At 39.2% G+C, this 22,943-nt stretch overlaps 1 protein-coding gene across 9 annotated transcripts in view; it reads left to right on the forward strand.

The window, feature by feature from the left end:
- Nucleotides 1-22,943, forward strand: part of CLCN5 (chloride voltage-gated channel 5) — a 176,635-nt gene that overhangs the window by 128,012 nt on the left and 25,680 nt on the right. For 4 of the 9 annotated variants that reach the window (NM_001440757.1, NM_001127899.4, NM_001440756.1 and 1 more), the window contains exons 5-6: nucleotides 19,272-19,423; nucleotides 21,882-21,981. In NM_001440757.1, the coding sequence (NP_001427686.1) occupies nucleotides 19,272-19,423; nucleotides 21,882-21,981 (252 nt within the window). Of the gene's footprint in view, nucleotides 1-3,811; nucleotides 4,027-16,717; nucleotides 17,154-18,893; nucleotides 19,138-19,271; nucleotides 19,424-21,881; nucleotides 21,982-22,943 lie in introns of those variants that run through there. The other 5 variants (NR_199781.1, XM_047441808.1, XM_047441807.1 and 2 more) reach the window with 5 other exon arrangements.

A 22,943-nucleotide genomic window follows, 5' to 3' on the forward strand; every position in this document is an offset into this window, starting at 1 on the left:
ATATATATTTTGTAAATGTCTTATCCTAGTCTGTGGCTTGTCTTCTTGGCTTTTTTTTTTTTTTTTTTTTGAGATGGAGTCTCGCTCTGTTGACTAGGCTGGAGTGCAGTGGTTCCATCTCGCTTGGCTCACTGCAAGCTCCGCCTCCTGGGTTCACGCCATTCTCCTGCCTCAGCCTCCTGAGTAGCTGGGACTACAGGTGCCTGCCACCACGCCTGGCTAATTTTTTGTATTTTAGTAGAGACGAGGTTTCACCATGTTAGCCAGGATGGTCTCCATCTCCTGACCTCGTGATCCGCCCACCTCGGCCTCCCAAAGTGCGGGGATTACAGGCGTGAGCCACTGCGCCTGGCCGTGGCTTGTCTTTTTATACTCTTTACAGTAGTTTTTGCAAACCAGAAATTTTTAATTTTAGTGAAGTCTAACTTATTAATTTTTTTTCTTTCCTGGATCATGCTATTTGTATTGTATATAAAAAGTCATCACTGAATCCAAAATCATGTAGATTTTCTCCTATGATATCTTCCAGAAGTTTTATAGTTTTGCATTTTACATTTAGGTCAATGGTACATTTTGTGTAAATTTTTATAAAAGGAGGAAAGTCTTTGTTTAGATTATCTTTTTAACATACTTATGCCTAGTCATTGCAGCACTGGTTGTTAAAAACACTGTCCTTTCTCCACTGATTTGCCTTTGCGCCTTCTTTAAAGATTAATTGACTGTATTTGTGTGGGTCTATTTTGGGGCTCTCTATTCTGTTCTCTTCGTCTATGCATCTTTTCTTTTGACAATACCATGCTGTCCTGATTACTATGGCTTTATGGTAAATCTTGAAATGAGGTAGTGTGAGCCTTCCAACTGTTCAGCTTCAACATTGTGTTGGATACTCTAGATGTTTTGCTTTTCCACAGAAGCTTTAGAATCAGTTTATTGTAGCTGCAAAATGACTTGCTTGGGTTTCTGTTGGGATTGTGTTGAATCTATAGATCAAGCTGGGAAGAATTGAAATCTCAATAATACTGAGTTTTACATCCCATGAACATTGACTATTTATTCAGATCTTTAGTTTCTTTAATCAGTATTTTGTAGTTTTCTGCATATAGATCTTGTATATATTTTCTTAGATTTCGACCTCTAAGTATTTAATTTGGAGTGGGGTGGGGTGACTATTGTAAATAGTATTGCTTTTTAAAATTTGCAATTCTAGTTCATTACTGGTATAAGGAAAGCAATTGACTTTTGTATATTGACTTTATATCCTGGAGTCTTACTATGTTGTCTTTATTAGTTCTAAGAGGTTGGGTTTTTTCCCCTTCAGGATTTTTTTAGGATTCTTTGGGATTTTCTACATAGACAGTTATGTCATCTGCAAATAAAGACAGTTTTATTTCTCTCTTTCCAACCTGTATACTTTTTATTACCTTTTGTTGTCTTACTTTACTAGCTAAGATGTTGAATAGATGAATGGTAAGAGAAGACATCCTTGCCTTGTTCCTGCTCTTAGGGGAAAAGAGTCTAGTTTCTCACTATTAACTGTGATATTAGCTGTAGGGCCTTTTTTGGTAGATGTTCTTTATTAAGTTGAGGAAATTATACTTTATTCCTACTTTGCTGAGAGTTAATCATGAATGGATATTAAATTATGAATTATGTCAAATGCTTTTTTGTTGTCAATGGATATCATATGACTTTTCTTCTTTAGCCTATTGTTATGCTAGATTACATTGATTTTTGAAATGTTGCTCCAGCTTTGCATACCTGGAATAAATTCCACTTGGTTGGGATTCCACTTGGTTGGAGATAACTGATATTATGCAATGTCGAATTCAATTTTCTAATATTTTAAAAGGATTTTTACATCTATGTTCATGAAAGGTATTAATCTGTAGTTTTCCTTTCTTGTAATGTCTCTGTTTGGTTTTCATATCGTTTAATGTTGGCCTCATAGCGTAACTTAGGAAGTGTTCTCTCCGCTACAGTTTTCTGGAAGAGATTGGGGAAAATTGGTATAATTTTATCCTTAAATGTTTGGTAGAACTTACCAGTGAAACCATGGGGGCCTGGTGCTTTCTTTTTGGCAAGGTTATTAATTTTTGATTCAATAATAATAATAGGGAATACATTTAAGTTCTGCAGGTCTATTTTACAACACGATGATAGTTAATAATAAGGTATTGTATGCCTGAAAATTGCTAAGTGAATGTATTTTAAATGTTCTCACCACAAAAAATAAGCATGTGAGATAATGAATGTATTTAGTTTGATTTAATAATTTACAGTGTATACGTATATAAAAACGTGTACACCTTATTTGTCAGTTGTACCTTCATAGAGGTGGAGGAAAAATAGAAGTGGGTTGTTTAAGCTTTGTGTATTTTGGGATTTCTAGCTCTCTTTGTTTAATTAATTAATCTCTAGTTTAATTCCAGTTTGGTAAGAGAGCAAACTTTGTATGATTTTTAATCTTTTTAAAGTGTGTTTTGTGGCCCAGGATGTGGTGTATCTTACAAAATATGTGTAAACTTGAGAAGACTGTGTATTCTGCTGTTGTTGGATGAAGAAGTTGATAAATGTCAATTATATTCAGTTAATCAGTGAAAAAATAATAATAATAGATGTGGGGCTCTTCAGATTTTTCTGTTTCTCCTGTGTAAGTTTTGGTAGTTTGTGTCTTTCAAGTAGTTGGTCCATTTCACCTGTTAGTAAATTTGTGTTCATAGTATTTCTTTATTATCCTTTTAATGTCTGAGAGACCGGGAGTCATGACATCTTCTTCATTTCTGATATGGTAATTTGTGTCTCCGCTCTTTTTTTTCTTGGTTAGCTTGGATAGTAGTCTATCAATTTTGTTGATCCTTCCAAAGAACCTGCTTTTGTTGATTTTTCTCTATTTTTTCAATTTTATTGATTTCTGTTCTAAATTTCTTATTGTCTTTGGTTTGCTTTAGGCTTATATTGTTCTCTTCTTCTCCTAGTTCCCTAAGATGGAAGCTTAGGTTATTGATTTTAGATCTTCTTTCCTAATATATACATTTAAGCCTATAAATTTCCCTCTAAGCACTGATTTTGCTGCATCCCTCAATGTTACTTCTCACATATATTATATTTTCATTTATTTCAAAATATTTTAAAATTTGTCTTGAGACATTTTGACTTACAAGTTATTTGGAAATATGTTGTTTAATTTCCAGGTATTTGAGGATTTTCCAGCTATTTTTCTGTTATTGGCTTCTATTAATAGCTCAATTCCATTGTGTTAGGATTTACAGCAAACTGGCTAGGACTTGGGCTGTATTTCATGTTTGGTGTATCTAGGTGCCAGAGGCTTCAAATTCCTCTAGTGTGCTTGTTTTTGTCTCTCCTCTTGATTGTGAGTTTCCCTGAGGACAACTCCTCTAGAGAGTCTGTGTCTTGCAGCTCTTTCAACTGTGATCCACTATTATTATACTGGAGCCCTGATGAGGTGGTGGTGAAGTATGGGGGAGGTGGTAATTTTATAATCCTCTGATTAAATGTCACTGTTTGATGGAACTGTGTTTTGTGGCTGTGACCTTCATACATTTTTCTCCAGTAGTATACTTTTTGTCCTCCCTGCCCTCTACTCTCTTCTTTGACTGCAGCATTCCCAATGTGTTTACTTGAAGCCCTGCACCTTGTTGAGTATGTTCCCCTGCTTTAGGTGAGATAAGAAGGCTAGATGGGATGGGAGTGGGAGGAATGTCCTTCTCCCAACTGGGATAAGGCTCAGGCAAAGTATTTTCCCCTGAGGCCTTTGTTATGGAGAAATATCTGGCAAGTTTCACAATGATTTCTCTTTCCCTCCCCTTGTCAGAGCCAGGAGGGATTCTTAGATCTTCACTGTGAGAACTTGGTGGGGTTCCTGGATGTAGAGCTTTGGTGTGGGAGCTCCCCTAAGACCGTGGTCCCCAAGAGTTTCTTGTACTCACGCCAGTCCACACTCAGCCTTCAGCAGCTTGTTCAAGTTGCCATTTGTGTTTCTACCAGCTCCAGCCATTTCTACTCCAGGTAAGCAGATCTCAGCTGTGTCTCTTTGAATAAGCTTCTCTCTTCAGATTTTGGGGTGGCAGTTTCCTCTGCAACCTCAGTTCTCCAATGAGTCCAAGAAAGATCATTGATTTTTTTTGGTTTATCCAACCTTTTCTTGTAAGGGTGAGAGCAATAACTTCTAAGTTCTTTGCTTGCAGGAGCTGAATCCAGAGGTTCCCCATTTTCATTTAATAAAACCACTTTGGTCCTTTCTTGAAGGAAATATACTTTCGGCTCCACTTTGTTCCAATTCATGACACGTGGTAGAGGAAGCAGTTGCTGTAATGCTTCAGGGGGTATGTGCCATATGTTTCTAAGATCTGGGGCTAACAGGTAATCCAGAGATACTGTAGCCGTATGAGTATAGCTCTGTGTAGTTAACCACATGCCAGAAATGTTGGGTCTCAGTGAGATACTAGATTGTCCTGTACCTCACTGATGAGCTTTTCTAAGGATTGGTAGCACCATTTTATGATCTTGCCAGTAGAACATTCTCAGTTAGCTATGCAATCAAAATATCATTTGGAATTCTTCAAAGATAAGGGCCTCTCAGAAGTCATTCAATCCAATATATGAGTGACCAAACAAAAAATCATCGCTAAAATGATACAGTATGAATTTGGAAGGGACCTTAACATTATATTTACTAATACACCTTCATGTTACAGATGGAAAACCTGTAAACCCACAGAGATTAAGGCAGTTGCCCAAGGTGACACAACTAGTGAGTTATGGAGCTAGGATTGGAATCCACATCTTCTCACTGCAGGATAATAGGTCTGATCACACTTTGTTCTTATTTAAAAACTGAATAAGCGTTCTTCCTCTCAGGGCTTTCCCTCTTAGTGTTGACCAGAAACTATCACCTACTTTGTCCACAAGTATCCCAGTAATCTGCCTCCCAGAACATAAGTCTGCTCCTTGCAATGTCCTGTCTCTGTTCTTCCAGTTGCATTGCTAGTATTTTTTCTTTTCAAAATCACTTACATAACACATAAATATGTCTCACTATAAAAGATTCAAACAATACACAGGTTTTTAAAATGTGAAAGTCTCCCTTGTTCTTCCCACTCCAGAGACAACCACCAAAAAGAATTCAGTATGATCCTTCCAGTTCTTTCTCTATCCAGTCACATATACAGACACACATTTAAAAAAAGACATATTCTGCTTATTTTGTGACTTGCTTTTTTCATATAATATGTCTGGGATACATTTCTATTTCAGTACACATCAGTCTACTTCTTTGCTTGCACTATTTCCCTATTACTAGATACTTTCATTGTTTCTGGGTTTTTGCTACTACAAACAGTGCTGCAATGAATAACACACATACATTGGTGTGCACAGGTGCAACTGTGTCTTTAAGTAATTCCCACATGAGATATATATATATAGATATATATATATATGCTTTTTTGAAACTTATTTTTCTGTCCATGACATCACACAATTCCTATGAATCCAAGGAGAATCTCACAATTGGTATTTTCTGTCTTGAAATTTTCCCCCCACTAAAGAATAATTGCTAGTCTTGTGTGCCCAGTTTCCTTCTGGAAATTAATAGAAACCAATGTAGACTTAGGACAGAAGAACTGGAGAATTGCTGCTTCTAAAACAACAATTAGAAGTTATTAGGCAGGATCGTGCTACCCAAAGGATTTCCCAACACTGTGGTATGTAATATGCATTTTAGGGCAGTGTCTCCCTACCCATCACATTCCCCATTCTCTTGTCAGTCCCATAAATGTGTACAATTGAGAAGGAAGGAATGAAGAACAAGTAAGGGAGTGGGGCGCTGTTTACTTTTTGTGGGGAGCCCTCTCAGCAACTTTGTCAAATCTAGCCCCTTTACTTCATTGCCACATTGCTTTCTGTGGCATCTTAGTCCAGTGGGAGCCTGCAGATACCAAGCCAAAGTCCTCATGCTGTTTTGGTTACTTTGATAACTCTGTCAGTTAGCACCCTGGTTCCACTGGTCATGAAAGTGAGTTGAGTCAGGAACTTCCAGATTTGAGCAGATGCTGGGAATAAGAGGACTACAAGAGATACACCCCAAGAAAATAGCCACAACCCAGTAAAGATGGAGCTGTATCCACTGGGAGTAAAGAGTCAGAAGGAGGTGTTAGAATCTGAATTCATGCTTGTCTCCACAGCTTTCCCTATGCCTTTCTGCCATGCCCAACCTTCCTGTTTTTTTCTCATAACTCTCAAACTTCATTTCAATATCATAGATTTGTTGGAGTTCTTGCAGTTCCATTTCCCACATCCTTCACCACCCCTTTTATTGTCTAGCTCTCAGCAGAGTCGGGATAGAGTTTCTTCTTTGTTGTCCTTCCTGCGTGTTAGACACCTTCAAGTTTTAACCTGCTGTGAACAGGAACCAAAGCAGTGGATCACTAAATGAAATGAGTGCAGGGATGAGATTCAAAACAATGCAGGCACTGCCCAGTGATATTGGCTGTCAGACATAGCACTGGGGCAGTGTCCTGGAGCCTCCTGGTATTCCAGCCGCTGGATCATGGGTAAGTTCAGGAGTTTCTAGGGTAGGGTGAGGTGGGGGAGGAGAGTCCTGAGGAAAAAGTGGTTATTTATCTGTAGCTACTGAAGTATTTCAGTATTTAGCAAACTGGTATGGCATACAGATGCATATCAACAGAATAGCTGCCCTGAATAAGTGTCCCAGGGGTCAAACTAAGAGTACACTAAAGCATAATGTGGTCCTGGATAGATACTATCCAGGACTCTCCTGGATAGATACTATCCAGGACTCTCCTGGATAGATACTATCCAGGACTCTCCTGGATAGATACTATCCAGGACTCTCCTGGATAGATACTATCCAGGACTCTCCTGGATAGATACTATCCAGGACTCTCCTGGATAGATACTATCCAGGACTCTCCTGGATAGATACTATCCAGGACTCTCCTGGATAGATACTATCCAGGACTCTCCTGGATAGATACTATCCAGGACTCTCCTGGATAGATACTATCCAGGACTCTCCTGGATAGATACTATCCAGGACTCTCCTGGATAGTTTCTTAGATGGGAGGGCTACTCCAACTACATTTGCTTCTTGGCCACTGGACTTAATTGAGTGGGAAAACAAAATAGAAGCAAAATGAAGGCACAAGTTGCTAGATAGAAAGTTCCTACAAATGTTGATTAATTATCAGGGCTTCCGCTGTAATGTACTATCAGACAAATAGGTGAAATGGGATGTGAAAGAGTTTATGTGACTTATTGGCAGATCTAGAATGGATGAACCAGTACAAGAAGGGAAGCAGGATGCGGGTATGGAAGTAAGAAGTGGCATATAATAGGCTCTTAGTATTTGCTGTTGAATGCAAGTAAAGTTTAAATGACCACAGGATGAATATCTGCTGATGTGTGTTAGGCATAATGTTGAATTTTTTGTACATTTGGTTCCAGCCTTGCAAAAATACAATATATCGCTGTAAAACTGAAATACATTTTTTAAAGGGACTATTTTCAAGTCCTGTGATATATACCAATAGCCCTGCCCCATTTCTTTGAATGCTTATTTATTTCTTTAGGTTGTTGCCAATTAGTGAGCCCTAATGCAGCTGTGATATTACTAAAGCAGTACTTCAGGGTCTGTGCATGAGATTTCTTCCTATTCTTTTTCCTCTTGTGTTTTTGTTAGTGTTTAACTAGTTCACTTAATCAGTTACTGTTCAGCCCCCTAGGTAAATTTCTAATGGCATATTGGTTAGGGATTTAAATAAACATTATTCTCAACAGATTTTTTTTTTCTTGTATTTTAAGGGGTTTTCCAGTTTAAAGCATCATGTGATTTTTAGAAAAAAAAATTAGACAGTGATTTCCATAATGAGAACTGAGTTAAATACATTCATTTATATGCCTCCTCATTCAAGCAGTGTGTTTCTAGAGACCTGTTGTTAAGTCTTTAGATCCGAGTATAACCCTAACGGGAAAGCTGTTTCAATGTTGACTTTTTTCTCTGACTGGTTTACTGTATGTTTTTCCTGGACTCAGGCAATGCAAATTAGCCTTTTGGGGGCTTTTTGTTCTATCATTCAAGTTGAGATCTAATTGTACTTTAACTTGAATAATTTTTGTTAGAACATTAAGTTATTTTATATATAACATTCACTATGCCTTCAAAATTTGAGATAAGTTTTACTTTTTTTTTTCTTATAGAGACAAAAATCTAGACTCACCTAAGTACCCCAACCTGATGTGTAGGCTCATTGTTTAATTTTTCTCTGCCTTCCTTGGCAGCATATTTACATGCCAGAAGCTTAGCTCTTAATGCATTGTTTTTTTGAAAAGCCTTTTGCATTTTGTTACTTTGTGCATCATTAGTTAATGGGTAGATCATTTCTGTTGCCATTCTTGACAGTTAATTTTTAAAAATTTATTTTCTTTCTATTAAGTTTTAAAAATGCTAAGAAAAGAAACCAGCTAGATGTGGAATATGACCAATGACTTAAGCTGTTTGTCATCAAGTCAGCTATAGATATCTTGATGAAAGTGTGTGAACAAGTTAAACCTTTTCACTGATGAAACCTAAAATAGTAGCAATGGCTGTCATCATCATCATTGTTATACATTTTAAAATATATTGTTTTTCTTATTCTAAAAATATGATGAATATTTTTAAATTCACAGTCCACACTTGTGTCAGTTAACCATTTAGAGGTCTTCATGTGCTAAAAGTTTTCAAAATATTGCTGTAGGGGCCACTGGCATTGTAAAAATTGGGAAATGATCTGGTCAGATCAGTGTTTCAGAAAGAATTCTGCTTATCTCAAAATAGTCTATTATTGTGTTTTTATCATAGGATGCATTAAAAGTTGGTAAGAATTTCTTTATCTTATTTTCACAATAATATCAATTGACCTACACTGGGCAGTCTGTATAATGAACACACACTAAAGATGGTAAGTTTGCCAGAGAAGGAATGGAGAGTAGAAAAGAATAAAAGAAATAAAGCATGTCAAACTCTGATACTGGTGCCTCATTTCTTAATCTAAATTGTCATTAAATCTTGTTTTAGTATGAGGACTGAATCATAGCCACCAGCCCTCTAGTTCTCAAAGGAAGTAACTGTACATGGAATAAAAAAAAAAGTCCCTTCCTTGGAAGTGCTGATAAAGCATTTGAAAAACACATGAACTTTCATTAAAAGTCAATAACGTGGCACCAGCTATGCAATCCATAGGAACTATATATTTTTATGTACCAAAAAAGATAGTATCTTTGCTAAATCGACTGCTAAATACTATAGCTGCTAAAGTGTGAAATAATCTTATAGATAATGTAAATCATACTAGATAATATAAGTGAATTCTTTAGTGGTCTTCAGATACTGTTACAGGTAAAATTGTGTTTACTAACGAACAACTTGGAAGGAGGCTTTAGAGGTTAGGCACATTACCCTCTTTGAATGAGATAGACATACTTTTCTAAAAGTTTAATGGAATAAGACAGTCACGGGGGGAGGAGCCAAGATGGCCGAATAGGAACAGCTCCGGTCTACAGCTCCCAGCGTGAGCGACGCAGAAGACGGGTGATTTCTGCATTTCCATCTGAGGTACCGGGTTCATCTCACTAGGGAGTGCCAGAGAGTGGGCGCAGGCCAGTGGGTGCGCGCACCGTGCGCGAGCTGAAGCAGGGCGAGGCATTGCCTCACCTGGGAAGCGCAAGGGGTCAGGGAGTTCCCTTTCCGAGTCAAAGAAAGGGGTGACGGACGCACCTGGAAAATCGGGTCACTCCCACCCGAATATTGCGCTTTTCAGACCGGCTTAAAAAACGGCGCACCACGAGACTATATCCCACACCTGGCTCGGAGGGTCCTACGCCCACGGAATCTCGCTGATTGCTAGCACAGCAGTCTGAGATCAAACTGCAAGGCGGCAGCGAGGCTGGGGGAGGGGCGCCCGCCATTGCCCAGGCTTGCTTAGGTAAACAAAGCAGCGGGGAAGCTCGAACTGGGTGGAGCCCACCACAGCTCAAGGAGGCCTGCCTGCCTCTGTAGGCTCCACCTTTGGGGGCAGGGCACAGACAAACAAAAAGATAGCAGTAACCTCTGCAGACTTAAATGTCCCTGTCTGACAGCCTTGAAGAGAGCAGTGGTTCTCCCAGCACACAGCTGGAGATCTGAGAACGGGCAGACTGCCTCCTCAAGTGGGTCCCTGACCCCTGACCCCCGAGCAGCCTAACTGGGAGGCACCCCCCAGCAGGGGCACACTGACACCTCACACGGCAGGGTATTCCAACAGACCTGCAGCTGAGGGTCCTGTCTGTTAGAAGGAAAACTAACAAACAGAAAGGACATCCACACCAAAAACCCATCTGTACATCACCATCATCAAAGACCAAAAGTAGATAAAACCACAAAGATGGGGAAAAAACAGAACAGAAAAACTGGAAACTCTAAAACGCAGAGCGCCTCTCCTCCTCCAAAGGAACGCAGTTCCTCACCAGCAATGGAACAAAGCTGGATGGAGAATGATTTTGACGAGCTGAGAGAAGAAGGCTTCAGACGATCAAATTACTCTGAGCTACGGGAGGACATTCAAACCAAAGGCAAAGAAGTTGAAAACTTTAAAAAAAATTTAGAAGAATGTATAACTAGAATAACCAATACAGAGAAGTGCTTAAAGGAGCTGATGGAGCTGAAAACCAAGGCTCGAGAACTACGTGAAGAATGCAGAAGCCTCGGGAGCCGATGCGATCAACTGGAAGAAAGGGTATCAGCAATGGAAGATGAAATGAATGAAATGAAGCGAGAAGGGAAGTTTAGAGAAAAAAGAATAAAAAGAAATGAGCAAAGCCTCCAAGAAATATGGGACTATGTGAAAAGACCAAATCTACGTCTGATTGGTGTACCTGAAAGTGATGTGGAGAATGGAACCAAGTTGGAAAACACTCTGCAGGATATTATCCAGGAGAACTTCCCCAATCTAGCAAGGCAGGCCAACGTTCAGATTCAGGAAATACAGAGAACGCCACAAAGATACTCCTCGAGAAGAGCAACTCCAAGACACATAATTGTCAGATTCACCAAAGTTGAAATGAAGGAAAAAATGTTAAGGGCAGCCAGAGAGAAAGGTCGGGTTACCCTCAAAGGGAAGCCCATCAGACTAACAGCAGATCTCTCGGCAGAAACCCTACAAGCCAGAAGAGAGTGGGGGCCAATATTCAACATTCTTAAAGAAAAGAATTTTCAACCCAGAATTTCATATCCAGCCAAACTAAGCTTCATAAGTGAAGGAGAAATAAAATACTTTACAGACAAGCAAATGCTGACCGATTTTGTCACCACCAGGCCTGCCCTAAAAGAGCTCCTGAAGGAAGCGCTAAACATGGAAAGGAACAACCGGTACCAGCTGCTGCAAAATCATGCCAAAATGTAAAGACCATCGAGACTAGGAAGAAAGTGCATCAACTAATGAGCAAAATAACGAGCTAACATCATAATGACAGGATCAAATTCACACATAACAATATTAACTTTAAATGTAAATGGACTAAATTCTCCAATTAAAAGACACAGACTGGCAAGTTGGATAAAGAGTCAAGACCCATCAGTGTGCTGTATTCAGGAAACCCATCTCACGTGCAGAGACACACATAGGCTCAAAATAAAAGGATGGAGGAAGATCTACCAAGCAAATGGAAAACAAAAAAAGGCAGGGGTTGCAATCCTAGTCTCTGATAAAACAGACTTTAAACCAACAAAGATCAAAAGAGACAAAGAAGGCCATTACATAATGGTAAAGGGATCAATTCAACAAGAGGAGCTAACTATCCTAAATATATATGCACCCAATACAGGAGCACCCAGATTCATAAAGCAAGTCCTGAGTGACCTACAAAGAGACATAGACTCCCACACATTAATAATGGGAGACTTTAACACCCCACTGTCAACATTAGACAGATCAACGAGACAGAAAGTCAACAAGGATACCCAGGAACTGAACTCAGCTCTGCACCAAGCGGACCTAATAGACATCTACAGAACACTCCACCCCAAATCAACAGAATATACATTTTTTTCAGCACCACACCACACCTATTCCAAAATTGACCACATACTGGGAAGTAAAGCTCTCCTCAGCAAATGTAAAAGAGCAGAAATTATAACAAACTATCTCTCAGACCACAGTGCAATCAAACTAGAACTCAGGATTAAGAATCTCACTCAAAGCCGCTCAACTACATGGAAACTGAACAACCTGCTCCTGAATGACTACTGGGTAAATAACGAAATGAAGGCAGAAATAAAGATGTTCTTTGAAACCAAAGAGAACAAAGACACAACATACCAGAATCTCTGGGACGCATTCAAAGCAGTGTGTAGAGGGAAATTTATAGCACTAAATGCGCACAAGAGAAAGCAGGAAAGATCTAAAATTGACACCCTAACATCACAATTAAAAGAACTAGAAAAGCAAGAGCAAACACATTCAAAAGCTAGCAGAAGGCAAGAAATAACTAAAATCAGAGCAGAACTGAAGGAAATAGAGACACAAAAAACCCTTCAAAAAATCAATGAATCCAGGAGCTGGTTTTTTGAAAGGATCAACAAAATTGATAGACCGCTAGCAAGACTAATAAAGAAAAAAAGAGAGAAGAATCAAATAGACACAATAAAAAATGATAAAGGGGATATCACCACTGATCCCACAGAAATACAAACTACCATCAGAGAATACTACAAACACCTCTACGCAAATAAACTAGAAAATCTAGAACAAATGGATGCATTCCTCGACACATACACTCTCCCAAGACTAAACCAGGAAGAAGTTGAGTCTCTGAATAGACCAATAACAGGAGCTGAAATTGTGGCAATAATCAATAGTTTACCAACCAAAAAGAGTCCAGGACCAGATGGATTCACAGCCGAATTCTCCCAGAGGTACAAGGAGGAACTGGTACCATTCCTTCTGAAACTATTCCAATCAATAGAAAAAGAGGGAATCCTCCCTAACTCATTTTATGAGGCCAGCATCATTCTGATACCAAAGCCAGGCAGAGACACAACCAAAAAAGAGAATTTTAGACCAATATCCTTGATGAACATCGATGCAAAAATCCTCAATAAAATACTGGCAAACCGAATCCAGCAGCACATCAAAAAGCTTATCCACCATGATCAAGTGGGCGTCATCCCTGGGATGCAAGGCTGGTTCAGTATACGCAAATCAATAAATGTAATCCAGCATATAAACAGAGCCAAAGACAAAAACCATATGATTATCTCAATAGATGCAGAAAAAGCCTTTGACAAAATTCAACAACCCTTCATGCTAAAAACTCTCAATAAATTAGGTATTGATGGGACGTATGTCAAAATAATAAGAGCTATCTATGACAAACCCACAGCCAATATCATACTGAATGGGCAAAAACTGGAAGCATTCCCTTTGAAAACTGGCACAAGACAGGGATGCCCTCTCTCACCGCTCCTATTCAACATAGTGTTGGAAGTTCTGGCCAGGGCAATCAGGCAGGAGAAGGAGATAAAGGGTGTTCAATTAGGAAAAGAGGAAGTCAAATTGTCCCTGTTTGCAGATGACATGATTGTATATCTATAAAACCCCGTCGTCTCAGCCCAAAATCTCCTTAAGCTGATAAGCAACTTCAGCAAAGTCTCAGGATACAAAATCAATGTACAAAAATCACAAGCATTCCTATACACCAACAACAGACAAACAGAGAGCCAAATCATGAGTGAACTCCCATTCACAATTGCTTCAAAGAGAATAAAATACCTAGGAATCCAACTTACAAGGGATGTGAAGGACCTCTTCAAGGAGAACTACAAACCACTGCTCAAGGAAATAAAAGAGGATACAAACAAATGGAAGAACATTCCATGCTCATGGGTAGGAAGAATCAATATCGTGAAAATGGCCATACTGCCCCAGGTAATTTACAGATTCAATGCCATCCCCATCAAGCTACCAATGACTTTCTTCACAGAATTGGAAAAAACTACTTTCAAGTTCATATGGAACCAAAAAAGAGCCCGCATCGCCAAGTCAATCCTAAGCCAAAAGAACAAAGCTGGAGGCATCACACTACCTGACTTCAAACTATACTACAAGGCTACAGTAACCAAAACAGCATGGTACTGGTACCAAAACAGAGATATAGATCAATGGAACAGAACAGAGCCCTCAGAAATAACGCCGCTTACCTACAACTATCTGATCTTTGACAAACCTGACAAAAACAAGCAATGGGGAAAGGATTCCCTATTTAATAAATGGTGCTGGGAAAACTGGCTAGCCATATGTAGAAAGCTGAAACTGGATCCCTTCCTTATGCCTTATACAAAAATTAATTCAAGATGGATTAAAGATTTAAACATTAGACCTAAAACCATAAAAACCCTAGAAGAAAACCTAGGCATTACCATTCAGGACATAGGCATGGGCAAGGACTTCATGTCCAAAACACCAAAAGCAATGGCAACAAAAGCCAAAATTGACAAATGGGATCTAATTAAACTAAAGAGCTTCTGCACAGCAAAAGAAACTACCATCAGAGTGAACAGGCAACCTACAACATGGGAGAAAATTTTCGCAACCTACTCATCTGACAAAGGGCTAATAGCCAGAATCTACAATGAACTCAAACAAATTTACAAGAAAAAAACAAACAACCCCATCAAAAAGTGGGCGAAGGACATGAACAGACACTTCTCAAAAGAAGACATTTATGCAGCCAAAAAACACATGAAGAAATGCTCATCATCACTGGCCATCAGAGAAATGCAAATCAAAACCACTATGAGATATCATCTCACACCAGTTAGAATGGCAATCATGAAAAAGTCAGGAAACAACAGGTGCTGGAGAGGATGTGGAGAAATAGGAACACTTTTACACTGTTGGTGGGACTGTAAACTAGTTCAACCATTGTGGAAGTCAGTGTGGCGATTCCTCAGGGATCTAGAACTAGAAATACCATTTGACCCAGCCATCCCATTACTGGGTATATACCCAAAGGACTATAAATCATGCTGCTATAAAGATACATGCACACGTATGTTCATTGCGGCATTATTCACAATAGCAAAGACTTGGAACCAAGCCAAATGTCCAACAATGATAGACTGGATTAAGAAAATGTGGCACATATACACCATGGAATACTATGCAGCCATAAAAAATGATGAGTTCATGTCCTTTGTAGGGACATGGATGAAATTGGAAACCATCATTCTCAGTAAACTATCGCAACAACAAAAAACCAAACACCGCATATTCTCACTCATAGGTGGGAATTGAACAATGAGATCACATGGACACAGGAAGGGGAATATCACACTCTGGGGACTGTGGTGGGGAGGGGGGAGGGGGAAGGGATAGCATTGGGAGATATACCTAATGCTAGATGATGAGTTAGTGGGTGCAGCGCACCAGCATGGCACATGTATACACATGTAACTAACCTGCACATTGTGCACATGTACCCTAAAACTTAAAGTATAATTAAAAAAAAAAAAAAAAGAAAGAAAGAGAAATTCCAGAGCAAAAAAAAAAAAAAGACAGTCACAGTTGGGCCACAAATGGCTTTTGCTTTTTACAGCAATGTAGCTCATGGCCACTTAATACAGTCAGTTGCCACTTCATTTTCAATCCTCCTCCTTAATGCTAGATTAGTTCATCAAGTGAGTGAGATAATATAACAATGATGAACTGAAAGCATACAGGTCCCATGCAGTGCCTCACATTTCATAAGGTTTTGTTGTATTAACATTTCAGGGTGTATCGAACCTTAAGAATTGATGCAAGTAATACTATTTCAAAGCTCTACACATAGGGTCCAGTTATTACAGCACACTGTGACTGGGTTAATGTTTAACAGTGGCTGTCCTTTGGGTTCCCTTAGGGAATCCTCCCAATTTAGGGAGTTGGGAGATAGCAATTTTATTTTTCTTTACCGGACTGACCTTATTGCACAATTAATTAAGACCTGCTTTAAAATAGCCTTCACAACCCTTTAAAACCATGGAAACATCATAGTGAATTTATTGTCAGGCTAAAATAGCTACTTTCATCCAGGTTGGATTAATGAGTACCAGAGTTGTTGTTGCTTTCTGCGTAGAGCATTACTACTCAGAAACAACTCATTTTCTTGACTATACTCTGGGTTTTCAAAGTGATGAGGTGCTGTTAAAGAACTGACCTTGTATAGTAAGTTCATATGAAGTTTAGTTTTTCACGTTTTCCTTTAATTATGATTTGTACATAAGCATAAAACATGTGTACAGTTTAAAGAATAATTATTAAGTGAACACTCAGGTAAACCACCTCCCAGATCAAGAAAAATGACCAGCATTCCAGAAGCCCTGCCCTTGCCATGTGCCCCTCCCACATGGCAGCCCTCTACTCTGGGTAGCTTCTGTCTTTACTTTTGCCATTTCCTTGCTTCTCTTTGAAATGTAATCACTTACATTTGTATTCTAAAATGATATAACTTGCTTGCCTGTTTTTGAACTTAGAGGCATAGAATCGTAATGAATGTTTTGTGCATTTTTGTGTCTGGTATCTTTCACTCAGCATTAGGTTTGTGAGACTACCCACGTTGCTGCTATCTAGTGTATTTTTTAAAAAACCTTTTTTATATTTGCCTTTCTCCCTTTTATACTTAGGACCCCTGTAACTCTAAATTCTTTTGGATATTTCTACTTTGCCTTCTTGGACTTTCTGCTAAATGAAGACTAAGACTTGTCTGGACCCAGGTTTCCTGAGCTGACCCGACTGCCCGCAGTTTGATGGCATTTGTTTAGATGAGACTACATCTTTAAGGCTTCTGTGCCCGGTTAAAAATCTTCCTTTCTCCCAGGCTGGTCCAAAGGTCTGGTCACGTGACTCCAACAGTGACATCACATTCTGACCGCCAGGGAACACTGGTAGTTCTTTAGGTGGCGTTTGTTGCTGTGAAAGGCAGAGAATGCAGCAAGTGCCCTTCTAAAGCACTTCAGACTGGGGCTTCTTTTGTAAAAGCTCCCCAACCTGAATGACCAAATGCGGGCTGCCAAGGTTATTTCTTCCTTGAGGCAGAAAAAAAGAAAACTGTGATTGAAGGTAAGCAGACTTGAGCCTGACCAAGGACTGAAGCATGCCCCCCGGGAGCAGGGGATCTGGAGAATTGCAAGCAGTCTGTTGTAGGATTCTAATCACTGCCTGCTCTTTGAGAGGGGCCTGACAATTGCGTTTCTAAGGAAACCAGACTACAAAGGAGGATGATGCGGTGCTCATGTTACCTAGTGATGTAATAGGATTCTTTCTTTCCTGCTAGAAGCTGTTGCAGATCTTCATTTTGCCTTAATATCCTTAAAGGTGGGGGCCTCATTTGATATATAGTGTATCATTAGATAGCTATCAGATGATTTTTAAAATCAGTTTCACAAAATCCTATTTTTCCCCTTCTGAAAGGAGAACTCTTAAACCAGAGCAAATTCAACTGGAGCATTAACCTGCCTTAAAAAGTAAATATCTGGTTGTTTGGTGTCATGTGTTCATGTCAGCATTGGACTTGAGAATTGAAACAGCTTGCCCTCCCCCACCTCCACACACACATACTTTATCCTCTTTCTGCCCTCATTTCCTAGCTGGCTTTTTCCCTCTAAGCTCTCAAGAAACACATCAGCTTTCATCTTTATCAGTATGACACTGACATGATAGGAAATGCTGGGCTGGTGATTCAGCAGCCATCCATTTTACAGTCAGGTACGAATGAAGATATGGAAAGGACTTTGGTTGGGGTTTAAGATTAACTTGTTCACCTTTTCCACTCCACCCCCACCCCGCCCCCACCCTACAGATGATTTGGACTCTGCAGAGCTTTTTCTTTCAAATGTGCACCTTGCCTGTGAAAGGCATGCTGACTTAGGTATTCAGAAGACTTACAATTGGTAAACCAATTGTAAGTACAGCTTGGGGTGTTCCTTCAAACTTTCCCCATGACATTGCTAAAGTTGTCTGTTTGGAGTTTACAGTGAAGATGGGGATGCAGATGGGAGGAGAGGGAGTCAGCTCAGGCCCACTTTGGCCTCCTCTGCAGAGGGATTCATTACCAAACAGTCTGGAGGAAGCCTTGTCCCTGCCAAGGTTGGTGCTGCAAATGTGAGCTTTGGCTGGGTGAATTAAATGATGGCATTACTCTGCACTTTTCCCCAGTGTGCATTTGCATAGATTCCTCAGTACTGTTTTGTATTTTGTGTTTAATAGCAAAATCTTATTCCATCAGATGATGTTGCTGAAATATTTTGAATCAAGTTTAAGCCTTGTGTGAGTATAGCTTGTGAGTTTAAAACTTTCTCCCCCATTCCCACCGTTCATCAAACAAATTTTGGTTCAGCTGATATATACTGATTCTTGGATATGTGCTAGACACTGTAGAGAAGGGAACGATGAATCAGACATCAGGCTACCAGCAAAGAGCTTGTAGTCTAGAAAGGAAGATAAAGCATGCACAAAAGTAATTGTAATAGAAGTACCCAAAGCAAAGTAGATAAGGGACTATGATGGGTGGGCAGGTGGATATGTTTCTTGCAGTTGAAGGATCAGGGAGGGACATTTCATCACTGAATCATACACTGTTCTTTAAATCTCTGCTTGTAAATCTTAGACTGTGCTGACATACTTAGAGTTCCTACAAGCCTGTTACATCAGAGATCAAGTCTTATACCTATTGAAGGGAAATTTGTACATTCCAGCCAACTTAACTCGTGAAGAGGCCCACATGCTTTATTTGGAGTCCCCAGCCAGGCAAAAACCACTTCATAGGATTGAATTATTGCCTTATAAATGTAAAATGGTTCTTGATGTGATATGGCTGCAAGTGCCTTTGACCCTTTTGTCTCCCTTCCATAAACTGAAATACCTAAGCTGCTCCAACCTCCTTTTTGTCTTTTGTTTCATAAATCCTTTCCCATTGCACATCAACTCCTGTCTCTCTTTGTACTGTCACTCTCATCTGTTGCTTTCCATTCACACTGCCTTTAGCCACTCATCATTTTGTGCCTACACCACAGAAACCTCTGAATGTAATGGATGTTCCTACCAGGTGACTGTATTTCTTTATCAACCCCAACTGTAGTCATCTGATAGTTTAAGGGCCCGCCTTTTGGAACCAAAAAGAATGTATTAAAAATGTTAAGAATTTCTGAAGTACTAATGTCTATTTCTTGTTCAATACAGAGGACAAGTCGTACAATGGTGGAGGAATAGGTTCTTCAAATAGGATCATGGACTTCTTGGAGGAGCCAATCCCTGGTGTAGGGACCTATGATGATTTCAATACAATTGATTGGGTGAGAGAGAAGTCTCGAGACCGGGATAGGCACCGAGAGGTAAGACAAAAGATGGCACATGGGTAAGTGTTAGGAAATACAGGGGAAGAAATTGAAGATACATATTCTTTCTATTCTTTCCTTTCTTCAGCCCTGGATGTGACTGAATCTGGTTTCTGTTGGCAATATAGAGTTTCATTTTTAAATTTATTTTTGAAGACATCTTGCACATAATTTTTTTATTATACTTTAAGTTCTAGGGTACATGTGCACAACGTGCAGGTTTGTTACATATGTATACATGTGCCATGTTGGTGCTTGCACATAATTTTTATCCTAAATTTAAAAAATTGTATTTAGTGATTTATCTTACTATAGTAAATAGTCGCAAAGGATCCTCACAGCTAAAAGGGATATAAATGCCTCTGAAGAGAGGTGAAAACAAACTTGGAGGAAGGTGGCAAAATAAATGTCAAAGATCTTCCTTTCCCATATAATCTCTCTTTTATGGTTTTTTCCTTAATGCAGGATATTCATAACTAAGAAAAGTAAATGGTTTTCTGTTAAAGGAATAAAAGAAAAAAATCTCAGAGCCCTAGTGTTTACTGAAGCATACAAAGTAAACTCCTTGTGATTATTGATCTTGTACAACCATAAAACCAAAGTAAACTTATGCTTTCAACTCCAACAAAACCACAAGACCAGTTAAATTCAAACTGGGGACATTAACTTAATGTGATAGGTAATAGATGGTACTTATGGCTATGGCACAGGTTCTTTTGAATTTAGCAAGAGAATTTCCCCACTTTTCTCTTTTTGAAGTACCGTGAAAACTTCTCAGAGAGACTTGCCAAGGTCATTTGCCTTTAACTTGTTGCTGTGTATCATTTAAATTAGGGAATCACAATTTCTGGTTTGTATAAGGGCCACGTGGAGAGCTTATTAAAAAAATAGTTGTCCAACCCCAGAGATTCTCAGTAGGTGGTCCTCTGGTGAGTCACTTCTTCAACCCACAATAGGTATTATTTTTTTTTCTTTCTTACTATTTCTGCTTGGACTCCAGATTTGAAATGTGATTTTTTAAGCTGCCCCATTCTCTCCCAAGTTCATGATTTCCTCCTCTTAGAACCAAGCAAATCTCTTGAGTAGTCAGGTGGAGATTGACTTTCGTTCTTAAGCCTTTCCAGCTCCTGACTGGTTTTCTCACGACCACCTGAACCCAGGAGTCAGGTTGTCCCAAGTACAGGTTTTGAGAAATTCCTTCTTAATCCATGGATATTTGGTGATTCCACCGAGTTTTCTTGTCACAACTCGAAAAGTTGATCACTATAAAGCATTTCATGTTTTTTCATAAGATTTCTGCCATTTGGGAACATATACACATATTCTTTCTATCGTATGTATCAATTCATCAGGCGGGCTTTAGAATTTCTGCCATCTGTAATTTACCAGTTTGTCATCAGTTGCATATTCAACATGTTATCCAGATTATGAGAGTCACCTGTGATATGACAAGTGCACACTTCCTTTTATATTAATGGTTGCATCTGAGGCAAATTATGCCAATTAGTAATCCAAAACCAGTTAAAGTGTGTTTATCAAATAGCCCAAGGGGGCTTTTTGTTTTATAGCATTAACTGTTCATTATCAGAAGGGAAACACTGTCACAGGGAAAAATGTAACTTTGTTCCTTTTCAGCACTGAAATTGGAAACTTAGAGTCATAGGTCAAAACTATTTAAAAAAATGCTTTTGAAATTCTCAGAATAATTTATTGTCTGTGACGTTACTGTAGATAAGGTGGGGTAACTAAGTTGCCATTTCAAAGATAAGAAATAGAGGTACAGAGAAAGGGGAGGTACCAGTGACAAAACTGTCAGAATGTTGATTTTTAAAATGTAGGCCCTGAAGGGTTAAATTGTCAAGTCTAGGACTTAAAAGATAAAACTTTCTGCACCTCCTGATAGCCTTGATGTTACCAGCAGGTTGTTGAAAATGAAAAGAGATACATCATTGCTATCACTTAGTATCGGTGACCACTGTACAATTAGGCGTTTGTGGGATGAAGTCTGGGAATTTGCCTGACCTGAACCACAGCCCCCAGGTAGTAAGCCTCAATTTGTACTTTTATCACTCAAATAAGCCTGTGTTTATTTATTCTTTGAAAAACATTGAAACTATTTGCTGTGAGTCAAGAGATTGCCCTTGGAATATCTGATGTCCAGGATAGAAAGATACCACTGCAATAAGCAAAACAAGTTGATGCTATAAGAAATGATGGCTTGGGAGGAAGCTCTGAATAAGGAACTTGTGGGCATTACAATACTGTAGATGAAGGTGGGGTTTCGGTAAACCTCAAAGTTGTTAGTGAAACTGGTTCAGCTAAAGATTATGTGAAAAGTAGCTCTAAATTGGTCTCTATTCTCCAGTGATTTGTCTTTGTATTTCTTTGTTGAACAGTTTTTAAGTGAAAAAATGGTGTGTGTAGAGTGTACCAATGTTTTCTCATTTTCCCCTAGATTACCAATAAAAGCAAAGAGTCAACATGGGCCTTAATTCACAGTGTGAGTGATGCTTTTTCCGGCTGGTTGTTGATGCTCCTTATTGGGCTTTTATCAGGTATGGTAAACTGTTAGTTTTCAAAACAAATCTCCTAAAATTGTGGTATGTCTCTCCCGTAAGTCCTGAGCTGAGTCACGTACTGTGTTTTCCTGTTTTTCTACCTTAAATGAATTGCTGGTGAACCTTATAGAAGCTCAATGTCCCCATCTGTAAAGGGTACTAATACCTGCAATTCTTACCTTGAATAAATGAGGAAATGCATTTAAATGCATTTTGTACACTATAAAATACTGTATCCATTTTAAGGTGATGTTAGCCCTTTGGTGCTTGTTTTGAGGAAGAGCCCTTCTGTTGGAGACAGTTTTTTTTTTAATACATACTGCATGGGTTTTAGGAGATAAGATGTGGAAGAGGACTTCCTGAGACATTTTGTGGGTGTTTCTTAAACATCTACTCTCTCATTTGGTGATGCAGAAAAGCATGTAAGATATGGCTCGTACTCCCAAGAAGCTTATGATCTCATTCTTTCATAGTGGCTGGGGGTGGAATGGTGCCACCTTGCCCTATAAACTCCTTCAACCTTCCCTGCCACTCCATATAATATACAGTCTCACTAAAAATGGTATACTTACTGTACAAATACAGCTTTCAACCAAGTTCCCAAGAAGGTTTCTCACCCGGTGGGGAGAGGAGAGGGCCAAGGACACTAGGTAGAGATGGTAAGAGGTGTGTCCTTATGGCATTAAAGGATAGGGCCTAGGCAAATCTGTAATCTTGAGCTGAAAGAGAAGTTAGGTGGAAACCTGGAGGTGGAAGGTATACAGTGGTAGTTAACAGCAAGTAGAGGCTCTAGTTTTAGGCTGCCTGGATTTGAATCCAAGCCCCACCACTTGCTAGTTTTGTGGCTTTGAGCAAGTTTCTTAACCCCTGGAAGCCTTAGTTTACTGATCTGTAAAATGGTGATAATCAAAGTCCCTATGTTAGAAGTTTGCTGTGAGGATTAAATGAGATATAGCACA

Source organism: Homo sapiens, chromosome X (assembly GCF_000001405.40).
Source record: "Homo sapiens chromosome X, GRCh38.p14 Primary Assembly".
NCBI lineage: Eukaryota > Metazoa > Chordata > Mammalia > Primates > Hominidae > Homo > Homo sapiens.